At 46.5% G+C, this 16,901-nt stretch overlaps 1 protein-coding gene and 1 long non-coding RNA gene across 13 annotated transcripts in view, besides 2 other annotated features; one reads left to right on the top strand and one right to left on the bottom strand.

Annotated features, from left to right (window-relative positions):
• Nucleotides 1–3,028, bottom strand: part of LOC105371841 (uncharacterized) — a 14,266-nt gene extending 11,238 nt beyond the window's left edge. Inside the window, exon 1 of the long non-coding RNA XR_934884.4 lies at nt 2,283–3,028. This is a non-coding gene — a long non-coding RNA (uncharacterized LOC105371841). The remainder of the gene's footprint in view (nt 1–2,282) is intronic.
• Nucleotides 2,980–3,259: an enhancer, noted in NCBI's record as "active region_12461". NCBI's record gives its function as "activates an Ori minimal core promoter by ATAC-STARR-seq in GM12878 lymphoblastoid cells {active_cell/tissue: GM12878}" and the evidence as "EXISTENCE:reporter gene assay evidence [ECO:0000049][PMID:35858748]".
• On the top strand, nt 3,087–16,901 carry MKS1 (MKS transition zone complex subunit 1). Of its 12 annotated transcripts, none has more exons than NM_017777.4 (18): nt 3,087–3,191; nt 3,613–3,722; nt 5,606–5,676; nt 6,099–6,254; nt 7,504–7,601; nt 7,955–8,083; nt 8,473–8,577; nt 9,252–9,360; nt 9,908–9,964; nt 11,320–11,362; nt 11,618–11,683; nt 13,759–13,829; nt 14,168–14,237; nt 14,341–14,448; nt 15,124–15,257; nt 15,795–15,877; nt 15,962–16,059; nt 16,172–16,901. In NM_017777.4, the coding sequence occupies exons 1-18, from the start codon at nt 3,112–3,114 to the stop codon at nt 16,261–16,263; spliced, it is 1,680 nt and encodes a 559-aa protein (NP_060247.2). In that variant the 5' UTR covers nt 3,087–3,111; the 3' UTR covers nt 16,264–16,901. The 12 variants fall into 12 exon arrangements, with proteins under 12 accessions (NP_060247.2, XP_011523260.1, NP_001308197.1 ...); XM_011524958.3 differs by having other exon boundaries at nt 5,597–5,676; NM_001321268.2 differs by lacking the exon at nt 7,504–7,601.
• Nucleotides 13,182–13,683: an enhancer, noted in NCBI's record as "NANOG hESC enhancer chr17:56286020-56286521 (GRCh37/hg19 assembly coordinates)". NCBI's record gives its function as "activates a minimal SCP1, AML or CMV promoter by ChIP-STARR-seq in naive H9 embryonic stem cells {active_cell/tissue: H9 hESC(naive)}" and the evidence as "EXISTENCE:reporter gene assay evidence [ECO:0000049][PMID:30033119]".

The following is a 16,901-nucleotide window of genomic DNA, read 5'->3' as shown; positions in this document are numbered from 1 at the left end:
TCCCAAGTAGCTGGGGCCACAGGCATGCACCACCAAACCTGGCTAATTTTTAAATTTTTTATAAATAAAAAATATGTTGCCCCGGTGGGTCTAAACTCCTGGGTCTAAACTCCACTGTGTCTGGCCCAAGCCATTCTTGATATCATGGTACAAACTCCTTTGAGAATCTGATAAAAGCTATGAACTCTTTCTAGAAAAATCCCCCATTCAGAATTCTAGGGAAAGGATTCATAGACTTCTTGAATCCCACTCATGGATCTCAGTTTTAAGAATCCTGGTTCATGCAAATCAAGACCACGATGAGATACCATCTCACACCAGTCAGAATGGCAATTACTAAAACGTCAGGAAGCAATAGATGCTGGCGAGGCTGTGGAGAAATAGGAACACTTTTACACTGTTGGTGGGAATATAAATTAGTTCAACCATTGTGGAAGACAGTGTGCGGATTCCTCAAGGATCTAGAACCAGAAATATCATTTGACCCAGCAATCTCATTACTGGGTATATACCCAAAGAAATATAAGCCAGTCTACTATAAAGACACATGCACACGTATGTTTACTGGAGCACTAGTTACAATGTCAAAGACATGGTACCAACCCAAATGCCCATCAGTGATAGACTGGATAAAGAAAATGTGGTACATATACACCATGTAATACTATGCAGCCATAAAAAGGAATGAGATCATGTCCTTTGGAGGGACATGGATGAAGCTGGAAGCCATCATCCTCAGCAAACTAACACAGGAACAGAAAACCAAACACTGCATGTTGTCATTCATAAGTGGGAGTTGAACAATGAGAACACATGGACGCAGGGAGGGGAACACCACACACTGGGGCCTGTCGCAAAGTCTGGGGCAGGGGGAGGGAGAGCATTAGGACAAATAACTAATGCATTCAGGGCTTAAAATCTAGGTGATGGGTTGATAGGTGCAGCAAACCACCATGGCACATGTATACTTATGTAACAAACCTGCATGTTCTGTACATGTATTCCGGAATTTAAAGTAAAAAAAAAAAAAAGGACATTCTGACACATGCTACAATATGGATTAGGTATCTAAAACAGTCAAATTTCATAGAGAGAAAATGTAGAATGGTAGTTGCCAGGGGCTGGAAGAGGGGAATGAGGAGTTACTATTTAATGGGAACAGAGTTTCAATTTTCAAAAATAAGAAAGTAGTGGCGATGGATGGTGATGATGGTTGAAAAACAAGGTAAATGTACTTAAGACCAATAAGCTGAATATTTAAACATAAAAGGATCCTGATTCATAGAAATCAGTAAACAAAACATGAAAACTTAGTTTACCTATATAAAAATAATACTAATTATGGTTGCTTACACAAATAGCTTATATTTCCATAACGTGGTATAGAAACTATTTTGCATATAATTATGTCAGATTAACTTTGTTATAAGTTAGATTTGGTTATAAAATTAAACTAGAATCAGGCTCCACTTTATCAGCTGTTGTGCATGTGGCACAGATTGCCTACTCACAATTTTAAAAGGAAACATTGGAGAGACAATTTCTTAGGAGCTAGAAAGGTGCCTTTTGTTTTATGTTAAAATTATTTCCGGCCGGGCGCGGTGGCTCACGCCTGTAATCCCAGCACTTTGGGAGGCCGAGGCGGGCGGATCACGAGGTCAGGAGATCGAGACCATCCCGGCTAAAACGGTGAAACCCCGTCTCTACTAAAAATACAAAAAATTAGCCGGGCGTAGTGGCGGGCGCCTGTAGTCCCGGCTACTTGGGAGGCTGAGGCAGGAGAATGGCGTGAACCCGGGAGGCGGAGCTTGCAGTGAGCCGAGATCCCGCCACTGCACTCCAGCCTGGGCGACAGAGCGAGACTCCGTCTCAAAAAAAAAAAAAAAAAAATTATTATTTCCCAGGTTGGAAATGTGTGCGTTTATGGAATAAATTGGTAGGTGAGAGGCTGTGAGGCAAACTGGAAGGTGGTTAGGCTTCAAAAGACAGAAGAACTTGGGCTAGAATCCCAGTACTTTTACCACTTGCAAGCTAGCAAGTCCTTTAAACCCTGGCCTTCACGAACTTCATTTTTAAAGTGAATAAAAGTACCTTTTTGAGAGGCTTCTACAAGGATTTGGGACAATGCAAACAAAAGTGCTCAAGCTGCACTAGATCCTAAATAAATGGTGCTATTTATGGTGAGTCGGTGTTACACAACTAGTGGCTATGGCACCCAGAGCTTCCAATGCCAAATCATCAAACTGGCATGAGATTCCCGAGTTCAGGGGACAATTGCTTACTTTGTTGGAGGAGGACTAGATGTGAACAAGGCTGATAAATGTTGACATTCCCAAAGTGCCGGGACGCCAGACGTGAGGTTACAGCATGTCCTTCCTTTGCTAGTACAACGAAGCATGACTTGTGAATGTCACTTTTTTGGCTTTTCAGGAAGCCAGTGCAGTAACAAAGTGGCTTAATGATCCAAAACTAACATACACAAGGTAAGAATCAGTTCAATAATAACATCGTTTCCTTCCTTACTGTTGACTTCCTTGTTTTTTCTTTCTTTGCTCAGTGAATATCAACACAAAGACTAATAAATCTTCTGACACTTTTTTTGTCTTCCAAGAATATATTTTCTTGTCTGGCTAAGGGCCATCACCTTCCCTGACTCCTTTGGGAATAATGGGTGCATTTCTTACAGTCACATCACCCGATTTTCAGGCCAAAGTTTTCACGCGTTGGGTGGAAGGCAGTGTGGCATGGTGGAAAAGGTAGAGGGCGAAGACTCAGGCCACCTGGTCCCCGTCATCATTTCTGCATCTATCTGTCTATATGAAGTGGGCTGATGGCTGTGCCAGTTTCCTCATTTGCACAGCGCACGAGGTCCCGCTTTCGGTGAGCTTTTATCGCATACATGGTAAGCGGTGATCGGTAGGACCCCGGAGCCCTCTTGGGCGTTCGGCTTGGGCTGCACTTGCACTGTGTGGCCAACTGCGACCGTGGCGCCGTGACGGGAACGGCGGGTTGCGCGCGCAGCACCTCCGTCGCCTCCCGATCCAGCGTCTCCGTTGCCAGGAAAACAGAGCGGCGCGCTTTCCGGCGCAGTCGCGGCGCGTCGCAGCTGTCATGGCGGAGACCGTCTGGAGCACTGACACCGGGGAGGCAGTGTATCGCTCCCGGGACCCCGTGCGCAACTTGCGCCTCCGGTAGTCGCACCGCCCCAGCCCCGAGGCCCCATGCTTTTGTGTCCTTAGATCATTCCAACCTGAGCTCGGTGTTCTGAGGTCCCCACTTTCTGCTTACAATCCCGACCACTTCTCCGGGCTCCCCACTTCTTTCACTATCCGTACCCCCATCCACTCACAGCCTCTAAGAACCCCTTACAGACCTACCCAAGTCCATTCACGTCTTTGTTGCTCCCAGTTTCTCAAAGCCCTGTGCCCCCAGTACACCCTCTCCCCTTCATTCTTCCCCATAGGACGGCGCACCCACCCACCTCCTCTCCGTTGTCTGCACCCAGCACACCTTGGCAACCCTACCTCCTCTGTTTTGTTTCCCCCATCCTTGCTTTGTGTTCATCTCCTGGTTGCGTGTCTGGTAACGAATATTTTGGGCTTTTCTTGACAGAGTCCACCTGCAAAGAATCACATCAAGCAACTTTCTTCATTATCAGCCTGCTGCCGAGCTCGGGAAGGACCTCATAGACTTGGCCACTTTTAGGCCTCAGCCAACTGCCAGTGGGTGTTACGGTGGTGATGTGCCATCTAATACTAATTATGATACTAATCAGAATTGTGGCCAAATGTAGTGAGATAACAAATACTATACTTCTGATATGTTATAGAGTTGCCCGGCAACCTACATTCTATTTGTGGCTTTTTTTTTTTTTTTTTTTTTTTTTTTTTTTTTGAGACGGAGTCTTGCTCTTTCCCCCAGGCTGAAGTGCAGTGTCGCTATCTCCGCTCACTGCAAGCTCCGCCTCCCGGGTTCACGCGATTCTCCTGCCTCAGCCTCCCGAGTAGCTGGGACTACAGGCGCCCGCCACCACGCCCGGCTAATTTTTTGTATTTTCAGTAGAGGCGGGGTTTCACCGTGTTAGCCAGGATTGTCTCGATCTCCTGACCTCGTGATCCGCCCGCCTTGGCCTCCCAAAGTGCTGGGATTACAGGCGTGAGCCACCGCGCCCGTCCTATTTGTGGCATTTTTAAAAGAGAAAACGTGCCCCAAACCCTAAATACACATATAAACACTTTTAAAAACAATTTTTAAACTGGAGACTGCTTGCAAAATCTGCATATGATGTGCATGTATAGATCAACTGTGTTCTTGTGGTTTTCCTTATCTGGGAAACCAAAAGAATGAGGAGGAGAGGACAGAGTGGTTGTTGTCAGGTCACTAGTCTGTTTGCTTTTATTGTTTCTCTTTCTGTTCAGAGCTGTTCCTGGGCAAGAGTGTGGGCTCACAGGTTGTGAAACGTGTCTCTGAAAAAGGCATACCCAAGAGTGTATTAGATTAGATTTGTTTTCTTTGTTTTTGTTTTCGTTTTGTTTTGAGACAGAATCTCATTCTTCTGCTCAGGCTGGAGTGCAGTGGTATGATCATAGCTCACTGTAAACCTTGGTCTCCCAGGCTCAAGCCATCCTCCTGCCTCAGCCTCCCAACTAGCTGGGACTACAGACTCACACTCAGTTTATTTTTTTTTAAAGTTTTAGTAGAGAAAAGGTCTTGCTATGTTGTCCAGGCTGGTTTCAAATTCCTGGGCCCAAGTGATCCTCCCACCTTAGCCTCCCAAAATGTTGGGATTACAGGCGTGAGTCACTGCATTCAGCCAGATTTGGTTCTGTTAAAAAATCATTTATTTGCCTTCACTGTCCTCTCCTTACACTTGGTCTCCTAAATTTCAGTGTTTGTGATTCTACATATATGGCTTTAGAAATAGTAAAGATAAAAATGCCAGGGTTATTTTCTAGCAAATGCAGACAGTTGGGACTGAGGAAGGGCTGGCTATTCAGCTTATATCTAAATTTCAGTTTCTTATATCCAGTTAGATTAGATATTTCCTGGAGCGGGCTGAGCGCCGTGGCCCACGCCTGTAATCCCAGCACTTTGGGAGACCAAGGCAGGTGGATCACCTGAGGTCGGGAATTCAAGATCAGCCTGGCTAACATGGCAAAACTCCATCTCTACTGATAATACAAAAATTAGCTGGGTTGGTGGTGTGTGCCTGTAATCCCAGCTACTTGGGAGGCTGAGGCAGGAGAATCGCTTGAACCCAGGAAGAGGAGGTTGCAGTGAGCTGAAACAGTGCCACTGCACTCCAGCTTGGGTGACAGAGTGAGACTCCATCCCCCCCAGAAAAAAATTCCTGGGGGGTATTTTCTTTTATTCAAATTAGAGTCATGACTAAGACTTCCTGGGTTCTAATCTTGGCTTCTACTCATACTAACTCTCATATACAGCCTCTCTAGCATTTCTCTAGGTTGAGTGCTTACTAAATTGCTGAATTCCAGCTAGTTTTTGTGGCAAATATAAGAATAGGGACTTTGGTTATAATAAACCACAGAACAAGAAGTGGTGCTGGTTTGGCTCAAGCATTTGATTCACTCTGTTGTCTTTGGAGGTGGACACCGCCCAGAGGAAGACGAAGAGGAGGAGATTGTGATTGGGTGGCAGGAGAAGCTCTTTAGCCAGGTGAGCCAGTGTCTCTTGTCTTCTCTGTCTATTCCATCTGGTCTACCTCCACATGGCTGGTGATACATATTGCCAAAGTGATTTCCAGACAGGTTGTAACAGTTTATACTTTCCCCTGTTGTGTTTAAAGGGCATTGTAACATAGGGATTGCCACTACTCAGTTTTGTGATTCTGGGTGAGGAACTTTTCATCTCTGGGCTATATGCCATCTGTAATAGCAGACTTGGATTAGACTATCAGTCTGGTTCCTTTTAGCTCTAATGTTCTTGGTTCCCCTGCCATTCATTAGTTTAGTGTTGGTTATGAAAACATGTCAGATAGCATCAGTTCTGTAGAACTGATTTGATTAAACAGTTACAGAAGCAAAAGTTTGATGTATTATAATGATGTACACATCTCTGTTTCCTTATGGTAACCTCAGTTTGAAGTAGATCTGTACCAAAATGAAACAGCCTGTCAGAGTCCTTTGGATTATCAGTACCGTCAGGAGATCCTGAAGCTGGAGAATTCGGGTGGCAAGAAAAACCGACGAATCTTTACCTACACTGACTCTGATAGATACACCAATTTGGAGGAGGTATTGTTCTTTCTAGGGTCTCATAGCTTCCATCTTTGCTTCCTCTAGCTTTTTTGCCTCACTGAGTTCTGTGTGTTATGTCAGAGCCTAGTAAGGGGAGACAAGTAGCCTGTCTAGGAACTGCTGTGAGCTGCTGCTGCTGGCAGCCAGCCTGGAATAGAATGGGCACAGTCTACAGGTGGTGAGGCTGCTGCTCCCTTCTCTGCCTGCTAGAGGGCCTGGGGGAGCTGCCAGTATCTCTGATTATATGCTTGCAGAGTGCATACTGGGAGAAGTAACCACTGGGCTTGACTTCCTCCATGCATCATGAAAAAAGACAGGTAGTGGAGTCTGGAACAATATAGATAAAATTCATCAGGGGATTCAGCCCAAACTCTGAGTATATGGGTTTGAAGAGGAATTCAGTATAGCTATGGAAAATGGCTTATGTCCTCAATTTGCCTATGACAAAAATACCCTTGTGACCTTGTTTTACATTTTCTTCAGTCACTGCATTTCAGTTGCTTCTGTCTTCTCAGTAAGATTTTAAGCTCCTCGAGGGTAGAGCCTATTTTTTTTATTTTTGTCTATGACTCTGTAGGTCTCTGCAAGGAACAGGTATTCAATAAATGTTTTTGAAAGATTGACGTGCTTTCATTATTAGAGCTGTGGATTGATAACATTAGCTGGGCATGGTGGCATGTACCTGTAGTCCCGGCTACGTGGGAAGCTGAGGCGGGAGGATCACTTGAGCCAAGGAGTTCAAGGTTGCAGTGAGCTATGATAGCACCACTGCACTGCAGCCTGGGTGAGACCCTGTCTCTTAAAAAAATATATAAATTAAATAAAATTTGGGTTGTCTGTTTTGGAAAAGCAAATGAAAATGCAGTTAGTGCTCAGTTACCATGTGAGGATTTCCCACAAAATGCTTGTATCCCATTTGGCATTTTCTAACCACCTTGTTAACTTCAACATCTACCAAGCACACTAACCCAACTTTTTGTTGGTTTGTGCTCAGAGAATGCAGACTGATTTTAATATTAACATAAATAACTCCTTTTTAAAATCCAAAGGCAAACCATGATGTGGTAGAAATCTTCTTTGGGTTGTTTGGCTACTGCTCCCTCCGTTAGCATGTATAATTGTGAGGTGGCGGAACCTGTGGGGTTCAGGTCCTGGATGAGGTTTCAGGAGGAAGACTTCCCTTCAGGTACTTGGCTCCATGTGGCCCTGACCAGATGGCGTACACAGGGCTGCTTGCTTTTCCCAGCACTGTCAGAGAATGACCACTGCAGCCAGCGAGGTGCCTTCATTCTTGGTCGAGCGAATGGCAAATGTCAGGCGTCGCCGGCAGGACAGGCGAGGGATGTGAGTGCGGGCATGGGATGGGGGACAAGCTTTTACTTTTTATTTCCTAAAGTTGGGTAGTTTTGCATTTTTATCAGTGGTTATATATAGTATTCAAGTATTACTTTGTAATTAATTTAAAAAATAAATATAAAAATATAAAATATCTTCCTCACTCTTCATGTGGACATTTTTCCAAAGTGCCTCAGAGAGAGGGAAGGGATGTCATTTCTGTTTGTCAAATATTTTGGCTCTTAAAAAACAAAACAAAACAGTATGTCCACTAGCTCAAACTTCCCATTCTGAAGTGGCTCTCCACTGGGGTGCTCCATTGGGGTGTGCCAGGGAAGTGACCTTTCTGTGGTGTCTCCCAGGGAGGGCGGCATCCTCAAGTCACGCATCGTCACCTGGGAGCCCTCAGAAGAGTTTGTCAGGAACAACCACGTCATTAACACCCCTCTTCAGACAATGCACATCATGGCAGACCTGGGGCCCTATAAAAAGTGAGTGGCGCTTCTCACTGCCAGCTTAGAGCCTCATCCTTTTCTCCTCTCACCAGCTCTCCCCTTCCTGTTATTATCATCCTAGGTTATAGGGGAGGGAGGGACTTTTTCTTCCTTCTCTTCTTAGTTATGAGTGAAGCTTCTCACTGCCAACTCAGATCCTCATCTTCTTCTCCTCTCACCAGCTATCCCCTTCCTGTTATCATCCTGGGTTATAGGAGAGGAAGGGACTTTTTCTTCCTTTTTTTTCTTAGTTGTACTTGGAAGAAAGTTTTACCATGACAGCTCTCCCTATAGCCTCTGTTCTCTCCCCTGCAGTGGGCTCAGTATCTCTTCTTGTTTCCCTGAAGGACCATTGACCTCAACCTTGGTGTTTTCCTGATTTCTAGGCTTGGCTATAAGAAGTATGAACATGTCCTGTGTACTCTGAAGGTGGATAGCAATGGTGTGATCACAGTAAAGCCTGACTTCACGGGCCTCAAAGGACCCTACAGGTGAGGAGAGGAAGAAAGGGGTAGTGGAGACTGGCATTCCTTCCCTTGGTTGCACTTTTTGTCCCTAGTCAACTAGACTGTCAGAAAGTCCTTCATCTGTTCTAACTTTTACATTCCCAGGCAATGGTTCGTATTCTGTTCCAAGTCATAGGGCCTTAGAAAACCAGGGACTCCTTTCTCAGAAAATGTGCAACTGCACCAATTTGAAAGGGATCACTTCAGTGGTACAGTTAAATGACAGTGATTCTCTGTGCTGCTGAATGTAGGACCTGACCAGAACAGAGTGGGGTGAACTCAGCCAGGCTTTTCCTGTGGGCTGACTGTTCCTCATCTCTGTATCTTGGAAATGACAGAAATGTAAATTAGAAATTATCTGGCCCAACCTGTCCATTTTTCAGGTGAGAGAACTGGGTGGCAGGAATGTTGTGCCTTACAGTTTGACTGTAACTTCAAGCCAGAAATGGGCCCAGAACCTATACTTTCTGAGTCTAGTCTGGTGCCCTCTCTGCTTTACCCTTTTGTTTCTCTCTCCTGGTCGTCAATACAGCCACTTTTATCATCATATACTTTAGTGAGGTGTATGGCCCCTGATCGCTCATCCCTGGGCTGGGAGCTATCCCAGGGCCCATCTCTCATTATTAGAGTTGCTCCTTTCTGTGGTTTTGACCTTACAGGATTGAGACGGAGGGGGAGAAGCAGGAGCTGTGGAAATATACGATCGACAATGTTTCCCCCCACGCACAGCCGGAGGAGGAGGAGCGGGAACGGCGAGTGTTCAAGGATGTAAGCGCAAGTTCATTCCAAGTATCCAAGGGATGAGCCTCAGTGCCTGGAGCTGAGACCATTTCTGAACTTGATGTCAGCAGTTGCTCGGGAAAAGCCTTGCCCTTCATGGCCCCTTCTGACTTAGGCAGCATTGCTGACATATCAGACAGAAGTTTTTGATCATATTATAATAATAACAATAACCATTTATTTGAGCATTTACCATGTTCTGTGCTAGGTACTTTACATACCTTATTTCCTTTAGTCTTTACAACAACCCTTTGAGGTGAACACTTATTACCACCTTATAAGTGGGGAAACCGAGATTGAGGAGCTAAGTAGTCTGCCCAAGGTGGCATAGCTTGTAAGGGCGAGAGTCAGGATTCTGCCCCAGACCAGCTGACTCCAGGGCCTCTGCTTCACGGTAAAATGGCGGTGAGTCAGGTGCTTACGCCTCCAGCTCTTGCTGACCCTTCCCACTATTGCTTTTCTTCTTCCCATTCAGAACTGAACTTTGGTCTAGCTTGGGTTGCATCTTGAGTTTTGGTTTGGTTTGTTTCCTCAGCTTTATGGCCGGCACAAGGAGTATCTCAGCAGCCTCGTAGGCACCGACTTTGAGATGGTGAGTAGCTTGGCTTCCTGCAGCACTGTGAGCTGTGTTTAGCCGGAGCATTCTGACTGTGGATGAGTTACACTACCTCTCTTAAAGGCCCAAAGGTATACTCTACAGTGTGAAAAGGAAGTCAAAGAATAGCACATATAGTCCTTGTTATGTGTTTTGCAACATTGCATGTTGATAGAGAACTGTTAATGCTAAGAAAAAGGTCTGAAAGGCTATGCACATGCTGTGGGTGGCTTTCTCTGGGGAGGGTGGGATTAGATGTGGTAGAAGGGTAGTGGGTGGTGAGAGGGATATATTAGGGATTTTTGCTTTTTATTCCCTAAACTTAGGTAGCTTTGAATTTTTATCAGTTGTAATGTATTTAGGTATTACTTTATAATTAATTTAAAAAATAAATATAAGGATGAAAAATGTCTTCTTCACCTTTCATGTGGATATTTTTTCAAAATACCCCATAGAGAGGCAGGGGTGCCATTTCTGTTTGTCACATATTTTGGCTCTTAAAAAATATAGGCCTGATGCGGTGGCGCATGACTATAATCCCAGCACTTTGTGAGGCCAAGGTGGGAGGATCACTTGAAGCCAGGAGTTTGAGAGCAGCCTGGGCAACATAGTGAGACCACATCCCTACAAAAAAAAAAAAAAAAATTAGCAAGGCATGGTGATACATACCTGTAGTCCCAGCTACTCATGATGCTGAGGCAGCAGGATTGCTTGAGCCTAGAAGTTTGAGTTTGCATTGAGCTATGATCACACCACTGCATTCCAGCCTGGACAACAGATCAAGACCCTGTCTGAAAAAAAAAGAAAGTGGTTTAGTTCAGCTATTCTGTTGTGCTGTTCTTTGTCTTTTCTCATTCTAAGAGTTCTATCTCTAGACCTGGAAACAAGGATAGAATTACTTCCTGGTCTCCCTCTCTTTCTCTGAAAAATTAACCTTCACTATTTCCATATTGCATAAGCAACAGATATTCAGTATTTAAAAGTTAGATAAGACATGCACAAATAATTAAAAAAGAAAACTCCCTGGTTTCTTGACCTCAGCCATCTAAAGGGAAGAGGGCGTTCTGGCTTCCCATTGCACACCACAGGACAGTTGCTGTTGCTTGAATAATTTCCCATAGTGCATTGTCCTCACTGCCATTTAAATTATGTACTTTCCCCCTACATTGTGAATCTTAGGAATGAAGGAAACAGATCTGTGGAGAAGTGTCAGGGTGGGGAGAAAGTGCAGTAGTGACACCCAGGGCCTGACCCCTAGTGGCAGGTCGTCTGCAGATTTGTAGATGGGGCTGGAGGAGAAGTGCCAATTCCCTCCAGGCCTGCTGATCCTTTCCCACTTCTCTTCACCTTAGACTGTCCCAGGTGCCCTCCGGCTCTTTGTAAATGGAGAGGTCGGTAAGTGTCTTGCTAGCATAGATCTCTTGATGCTTAGGCACGTGCCTAGATGGAGCTGTGAATAGTCTCCTCCACTCTGGTAGAGGCCTTGTCTGCTGTACTTGGGAAACTCAGTGGTGAGTCTTTCCTGGAAACGCAGAGGGTTCCTGGCCCTCAAAAGACTTGCTCTCAGGGTGTGTAGGCCCCTCAGGATTGGGTTGGGTGCTAAGGGTGGTAGGAGAAAAAGCTAAAATAGCTTCCTGTTTTCTCTCGTAGTTTCAGCCCAAGGCTATGAGTATGACAATCTCTACGTCCACTTCTTTGTAGAATTGCCAACTGCTCGTAAGTAATATTCTTAAGTCTCTCCTTTTATACCCATTCAGACAGATCTAGAGGCATTTGGTCAGGCTTCCTTTCCCACTCCTCTGCTGAAACTGTTACTGTTCTTTTCAAGGTCATAGATCACATCCACTTTACCAAACCCAGTGGAGACTTCCCTGCTTTCACCTCGCTTGACCTTCCTGAAGCATTTTCCAGAGCCCACTGTGCTGCATGACACACTTCTCTGGCTTCTGGCTCCACACTTCTCTCTCCTATCTCGCTGGTGGCCCCTCATCCTTCTTGGGTGATGCCTTCCCTTCTGTTGATCTTAAACCGTGAGAGTACCCACAGCTAAGCCAAGGCCTTCTGTTACTCTCTGTCTGCAGTCTTCCTGGGCAACGTCATCCATCCTATGGCTTAAATACCATCAATACGTCTCAGACTCCCAGGTTTCTGCCTCTAGCCTTAACCTTTTCCCTGGACTCCAGACTCATATCCAGTTACCTCTTTTGTCATTTCTGTCTAACATGACCAAAAAGAACTCTTGATTCCTCCTCTTCCCTCAAACCTCTCCTCCCTGGTCTTCCCCATCCTAACAGAATGGCAGTGTCATCTACTGAGTTGTTGATGCCAAAAACCTAGGGAACATCCTTGATCCCTCACTTTCCCTAGCTCCCTATAGCCAGCCAATCTGTCAACAGTTCCTGTCCGTTCTGTCTTCAAAAGCTGTTGTGAACCTATTTGTTCTCTCCAGCACCCTACACCAAGCCACCACCATCTCTTGTCTAGGCCAGTGCATTCAACTTCTGATGTATCCCCCTGCTTCCTGCCTTGCTCCCATTTGCCGTTGATTTGCCACAGACACCAAAGCCAAGTTGAGCTTTAAAAAATGTAAACAAGTTATGTCCCTTTTGAGCTGAAAACCCCAACAGCTTCCCCTCCCACTTAGAGTAAAATGTAAACTTGATACCCTGAATGAGCTGGCCCCTGCCTATCTCTTCCATACAACCTTCCAGTCATTCTTCCCAGCCAGGTTCATTCCCACCTTGTAGCCTTTTAAGGGCCGTTTCCTTTGTCTGAAACCCTTTCTGCCATATCTTAGCATGGCTGGTTCTTTCTGAGTTTAGGTCTCAGCCTGTGTCGCCTCTGAGAGGCCTTCTCTTACCACCCAGTCTAAATGAGCCTCCCAATCACTCAGTCCCTTCCCCGTTTTGTTTTTAGTATAGCACTCATCACTACCCAATAGTCTCTTGTTGGTTTGGTTTTTGTCTGTCTCCCTGCTTCCCCCAGAATGTCAGCTCCATGAGAGATGGGGATCTTTTCTATCTAGTTACCAAGATACCCCTAAGATATACTAGCACATAGCAGGCACTCAGTAAATGGTAAATGAATGATTGATTGTGTGAATAAATGAATAAAGAAACTGTCCGCCCCGTCTGGGAAGTGAGGAGCGCCTCTGCCCGGCCGCCCCATCTGGGAGGTGTACCCAACAGCTCCGAAGAGACAGCGACCATTGAGAATGGGCCATGATGACGATGGCGGTTTTGTCAAAAAGAAAAGGGGGAAATGTGGGGAAAAGAAAGAGAGATCAGATTGTTACTGTGTCTGTGTAGAAAGAAGTAGACATAGGAGACTCCATTTTGTTCTGTACTAAGAAAAATTCTTCTGCCTTGGGATGCTGTTAATCTATAACCTTACCCCCAACCCCGTGCTCTCTGAAACATGTGCTGTGTCAACTCAAGGTTAAATGGATTAAGGGCGGTGCAAGATGTGCTTTGTTAAACAGGTGCTTGAAGGCAGCATGCTCCTTAAGAGTCATCACCACTCCCTAATCTCAAGTACCCAGGGACACAAACACTGTGGAAGGCCGCAGGGACCTCTGCCTAGGAGAACCAGAGACCTTTGTTCACGTGTTTATCTGCTGACCTTCTCTCCACTATTATCCTATGACCCTGCCACATCCCCCTCTCCGAGAAACACCCAAGAATGATCAATAAATACAAAAAAAAAAAAGAAAAGAAAAAAGAAACTGTCTTTTTCTGAATGACTTGCTTTCCTCCCAGGCGAGCTTACTATATTTGGTCTTTGGCTTTCAGACTGGTCAAGCCCAGCATTCCAGCAGCTCTCAGGAGTAACACAGACCTGCACCACCAAGTCCCTGGCAATGGTATGGAGAATGAGAGCGGGTATCTGGAAGGGAATGAGATCTGCTCCTGGGATGGCATTTGAGGTTTTATCAGGCCAAGTGCTGTGCGCCCTGGGGAGGATTCCAGAGTTGGGTGACTTGTGTGTGGGTTCTACAGGGCCACCTGGTCCGGAGATCCTGTCTGTCTTTTTGAGCATGGCAGCAGCTTGTATTTGGGTGTCCTTTTGCATCTCAGACTCCTATTTCCCACCTGGGTGATAATTTTTCTTTTTCCCTTGTGAAGATAACCTTGTCATTGGCCACAAGGAGAACAGATTCCAAGGGAGGCCTTGCCCACCCTATGACACTCCTTTTTATAGGACAAGGTGGCTCACTTCTCCTACCCATTCACGTTTGAAGCCTTCTTCCTCCATGAGGATGAATCTTCTGGTGAGTAGCTCAGCAGTTGATCCTGGGCCTTGGTTCCCCTCAAGCAGTGCTGTCTCTTGGTGAAGGCCGCCTGTGACCTGGCCGCTTCTCTCCTTGCTCCCAGATGCACTCCCGGAGTGGCCTGTGCTCTACTGTGAGGTCCTCTCGCTGGACTTCTGGCAGAGGTACCGTGTGGAAGGCTATGGGGCTGTGGTGCTGCCTGCCACTCCAGGTAACCGCTCGTCTCTGCCCTTCTGTGGCCCACATGCCCTAGGCCCTAAGAACAAGACTAACACTCGAATGCTTCTGGTGAGGGGTGGAGATAATTGGGAATTGGAAATGTTTGGCTTGAAAGAGTTCCTGTTCCTCTGAGGACTTTCTGCCCCCCTCCATTAGCGACAATGACGTGGCCTTGGCACTGACTTCCTGACAGTCTCTCCATGTGCTTCATGCTCCTCTGATTGGACTCAGGGTGAGAAGCTGTATGGCAAAATTGGCTCATAGCATATGTGTATTGAATGAATCAGCATTCAGTTTGGAATAAAAGCATCTGTCTTTTACTGTGTGCCAGGCATTGTGCCATACTTCTCACTTAATTCTCCCAGTCACTCTGTGAGGTGCAGGTGGTATTATTTCCATTTTACTAGATGAGGAGAATGAGCTTCAGAGAGGTTAAGAAACCTGTCCTGGGTATGCAGGTAATAACTGGCAGAGCGGAAATTTGAATTTCTCCCTGATTGATTTCCATACAGGTGCTATGGGTAACCATGATAACCTGCACCAGAGGCCAGGTCATCACCAGACCAGGTGTTTTAGCTGAGTCTAGGCCTGTGTCATTGCTGGGGAGTCAGTGAGGGGCCACATGCCCTTTCTGGACCTGGCCCCAGTCTTCTCTTCCCTTGCGCAGGCTCACACACCCTGACAGTCTCCACGTGGAGACCTGTGGAGCTTGGCACGGTGGCTGAGCTGAGGAGGTTTTTCATTGGCGGTTCTCTGGAACTGGAGGACCTCTCCTATGTACGGATACCAGGATCCTTCAAGGTGACTTTTGTCTTTGGAGTGACTTCACGCTGAGAACTTATGGTCCTGTCCTTCTGTAGGAGGTGGGATCTGGGTCAAGACCCCTTAGTTGTGCATTGCTTCAGTATTAACCCCTTCCTTCCTGTGGCTTAAGCTGGAAGTCATGACCACATTTTGAATCAGGTTCCAATATCTACACTGCTATCGTAGGAGGTCTCTGGAAAATAGTATAATTAGAGATTTCCCCTGGTTCCCATCAGAATAACTGGCTCTTTCCCCCATCACTGAAGGCCTCAGTAATCAGATGTGGGGAGGATTCACAGTAAGCATATAAGACCGCCGCTTCTCAAATGAGGTTGGAATGTTCCCTGGTTTAGTTGGGGGAGCCCAATAGCCCAGTATTAGCCTTGAGGTAATAGAGTCTGGGTGATGGAATAAGGTTTCCCCAACAGAACTGCGCTTCCCAAGAATGGGAATAAGAATGGGGGTGAGGCCAGCATGGTGCGGGGGTGTCTAGAGAGAGCAGAAACCTGAGGCTGTCCCAATGGCATGCCACAGGGGGAACGCCTGAGCCGCTTTGGACTCCGCACAGAGACCACAGGCACTGTCACCTTCCGCTTGCACTGTCTGCAGCAGTCCAGGTGAGTGACTTGGCCCTCTGCCTCAGGGCACCTTAGCCCTGAGGGGTGGAGACAGCCGTAACCATGTGGCTGGCCTCCCTGCAGGGCCTTCATGGAATCGAGCTCCCTTCAGAAAAGGATGCGGAGTGTGTTGGACCGTCTGGAAGGGTTCAGCCAGCAGAGTTCCATTCACAATGTGCTAGGTATGTCCCCTCCCCCAGCTGGCCACCCCAGGTCAGCATGGGCCTGTTTCTCTCTGCAGTGCAGAGAGAAATACCATATGGCAGCCAAATAGCATATCTCCTTTCCTTACAGAGGCCTTCCGTCGAGCCCGGCGCCGCATGCAGGAGGCCCGGGAAAGCCTCCCGCAGGACCTAGTGAGCCCCTCTGGAACCCTGGTCTCCTAGCTCACAGCAGCCCTGGCCCACAGTGCAAGAGGACAAGATGGGGGATATCTGAGGCCAGTGCTCTCCTGCCTCTTCGTCTTTCTGATTAGAGACCACGTTGGTCTGCTGAGAACCAGAAAAGCTGGGAAATTCCCGGCTGGCCCCTCTGCCTAGCCTTCTGCAGGGTCTTCTCCCTACCCTGTGGAAATAAAGCCAGAGACCCTGTGGCCCCCCCTTTATATTTGCAGCCACTGTCAATGGGCATCACAGCAAGGCAGGCTTTTTGATCTGAAGCTGTTTGGGGTGACCCCATAGTGAGTCTGGCCTTGACTCACTTTTCTGGCTTGTCTCACAGTAGCAGGGGATCTGCTGTTCTCCACCCTTTAAAAATGGAGCCTTTCATCTTCCAAGACCAAAGAAGGAAGGAAGGTGGACGGTGAGAGGGTCTTAAATCCCCAGCCTGTGAGTCTCAGCCTCTTTCCAGGGAAGCCTCATTCTACTGCTTGGGGCTTGCTGAGGTTGAGATATGAGTTATTTCTGAGTAAGTGAAGGCTGAAGGCAGTGCTGAGTCCTTTCTGCTAGCTGGGTGGTATCTTTTACTGTGTTTTTTTGTTTGTTTGTTTTTTTGTTTTTTGTTACATAAACCCCTTTTATTTTGA

Source organism: Homo sapiens, chromosome 17 (genome assembly GCF_000001405.40).
Source record: "Homo sapiens chromosome 17, GRCh38.p14 Primary Assembly".
In the NCBI taxonomy this organism is placed as follows: Eukaryota; Metazoa; Chordata; class Mammalia; order Primates; family Hominidae; genus Homo; species Homo sapiens.
Note: the sequence above shows the minus strand (reverse complement) of the source record. Positions and strands in the feature narration are given on the sequence as shown.

Coding starts and splice junctions, on each gene's coding strand:
- MKS1 (XM_011524957.3), top strand. CDS start 3,112: ATGGCGGAGACCGTCTGGAGCACTGACACCGGGGAGGCAGTGTATCGC. Junction 11,684..13,758: donor TGTAGAATTGCCAACTGCTC/GTAAGTAATATT, acceptor TTTGGCTTTCAG/ACTGGTCAAGCCCAGCATTC. Junction 14,449..15,123: donor GGTGCTGCCTGCCACTCCAG/GTAACCGCTCGT, acceptor TCCCTTGCGCAG/GCTCACACACCCTGACAGTC.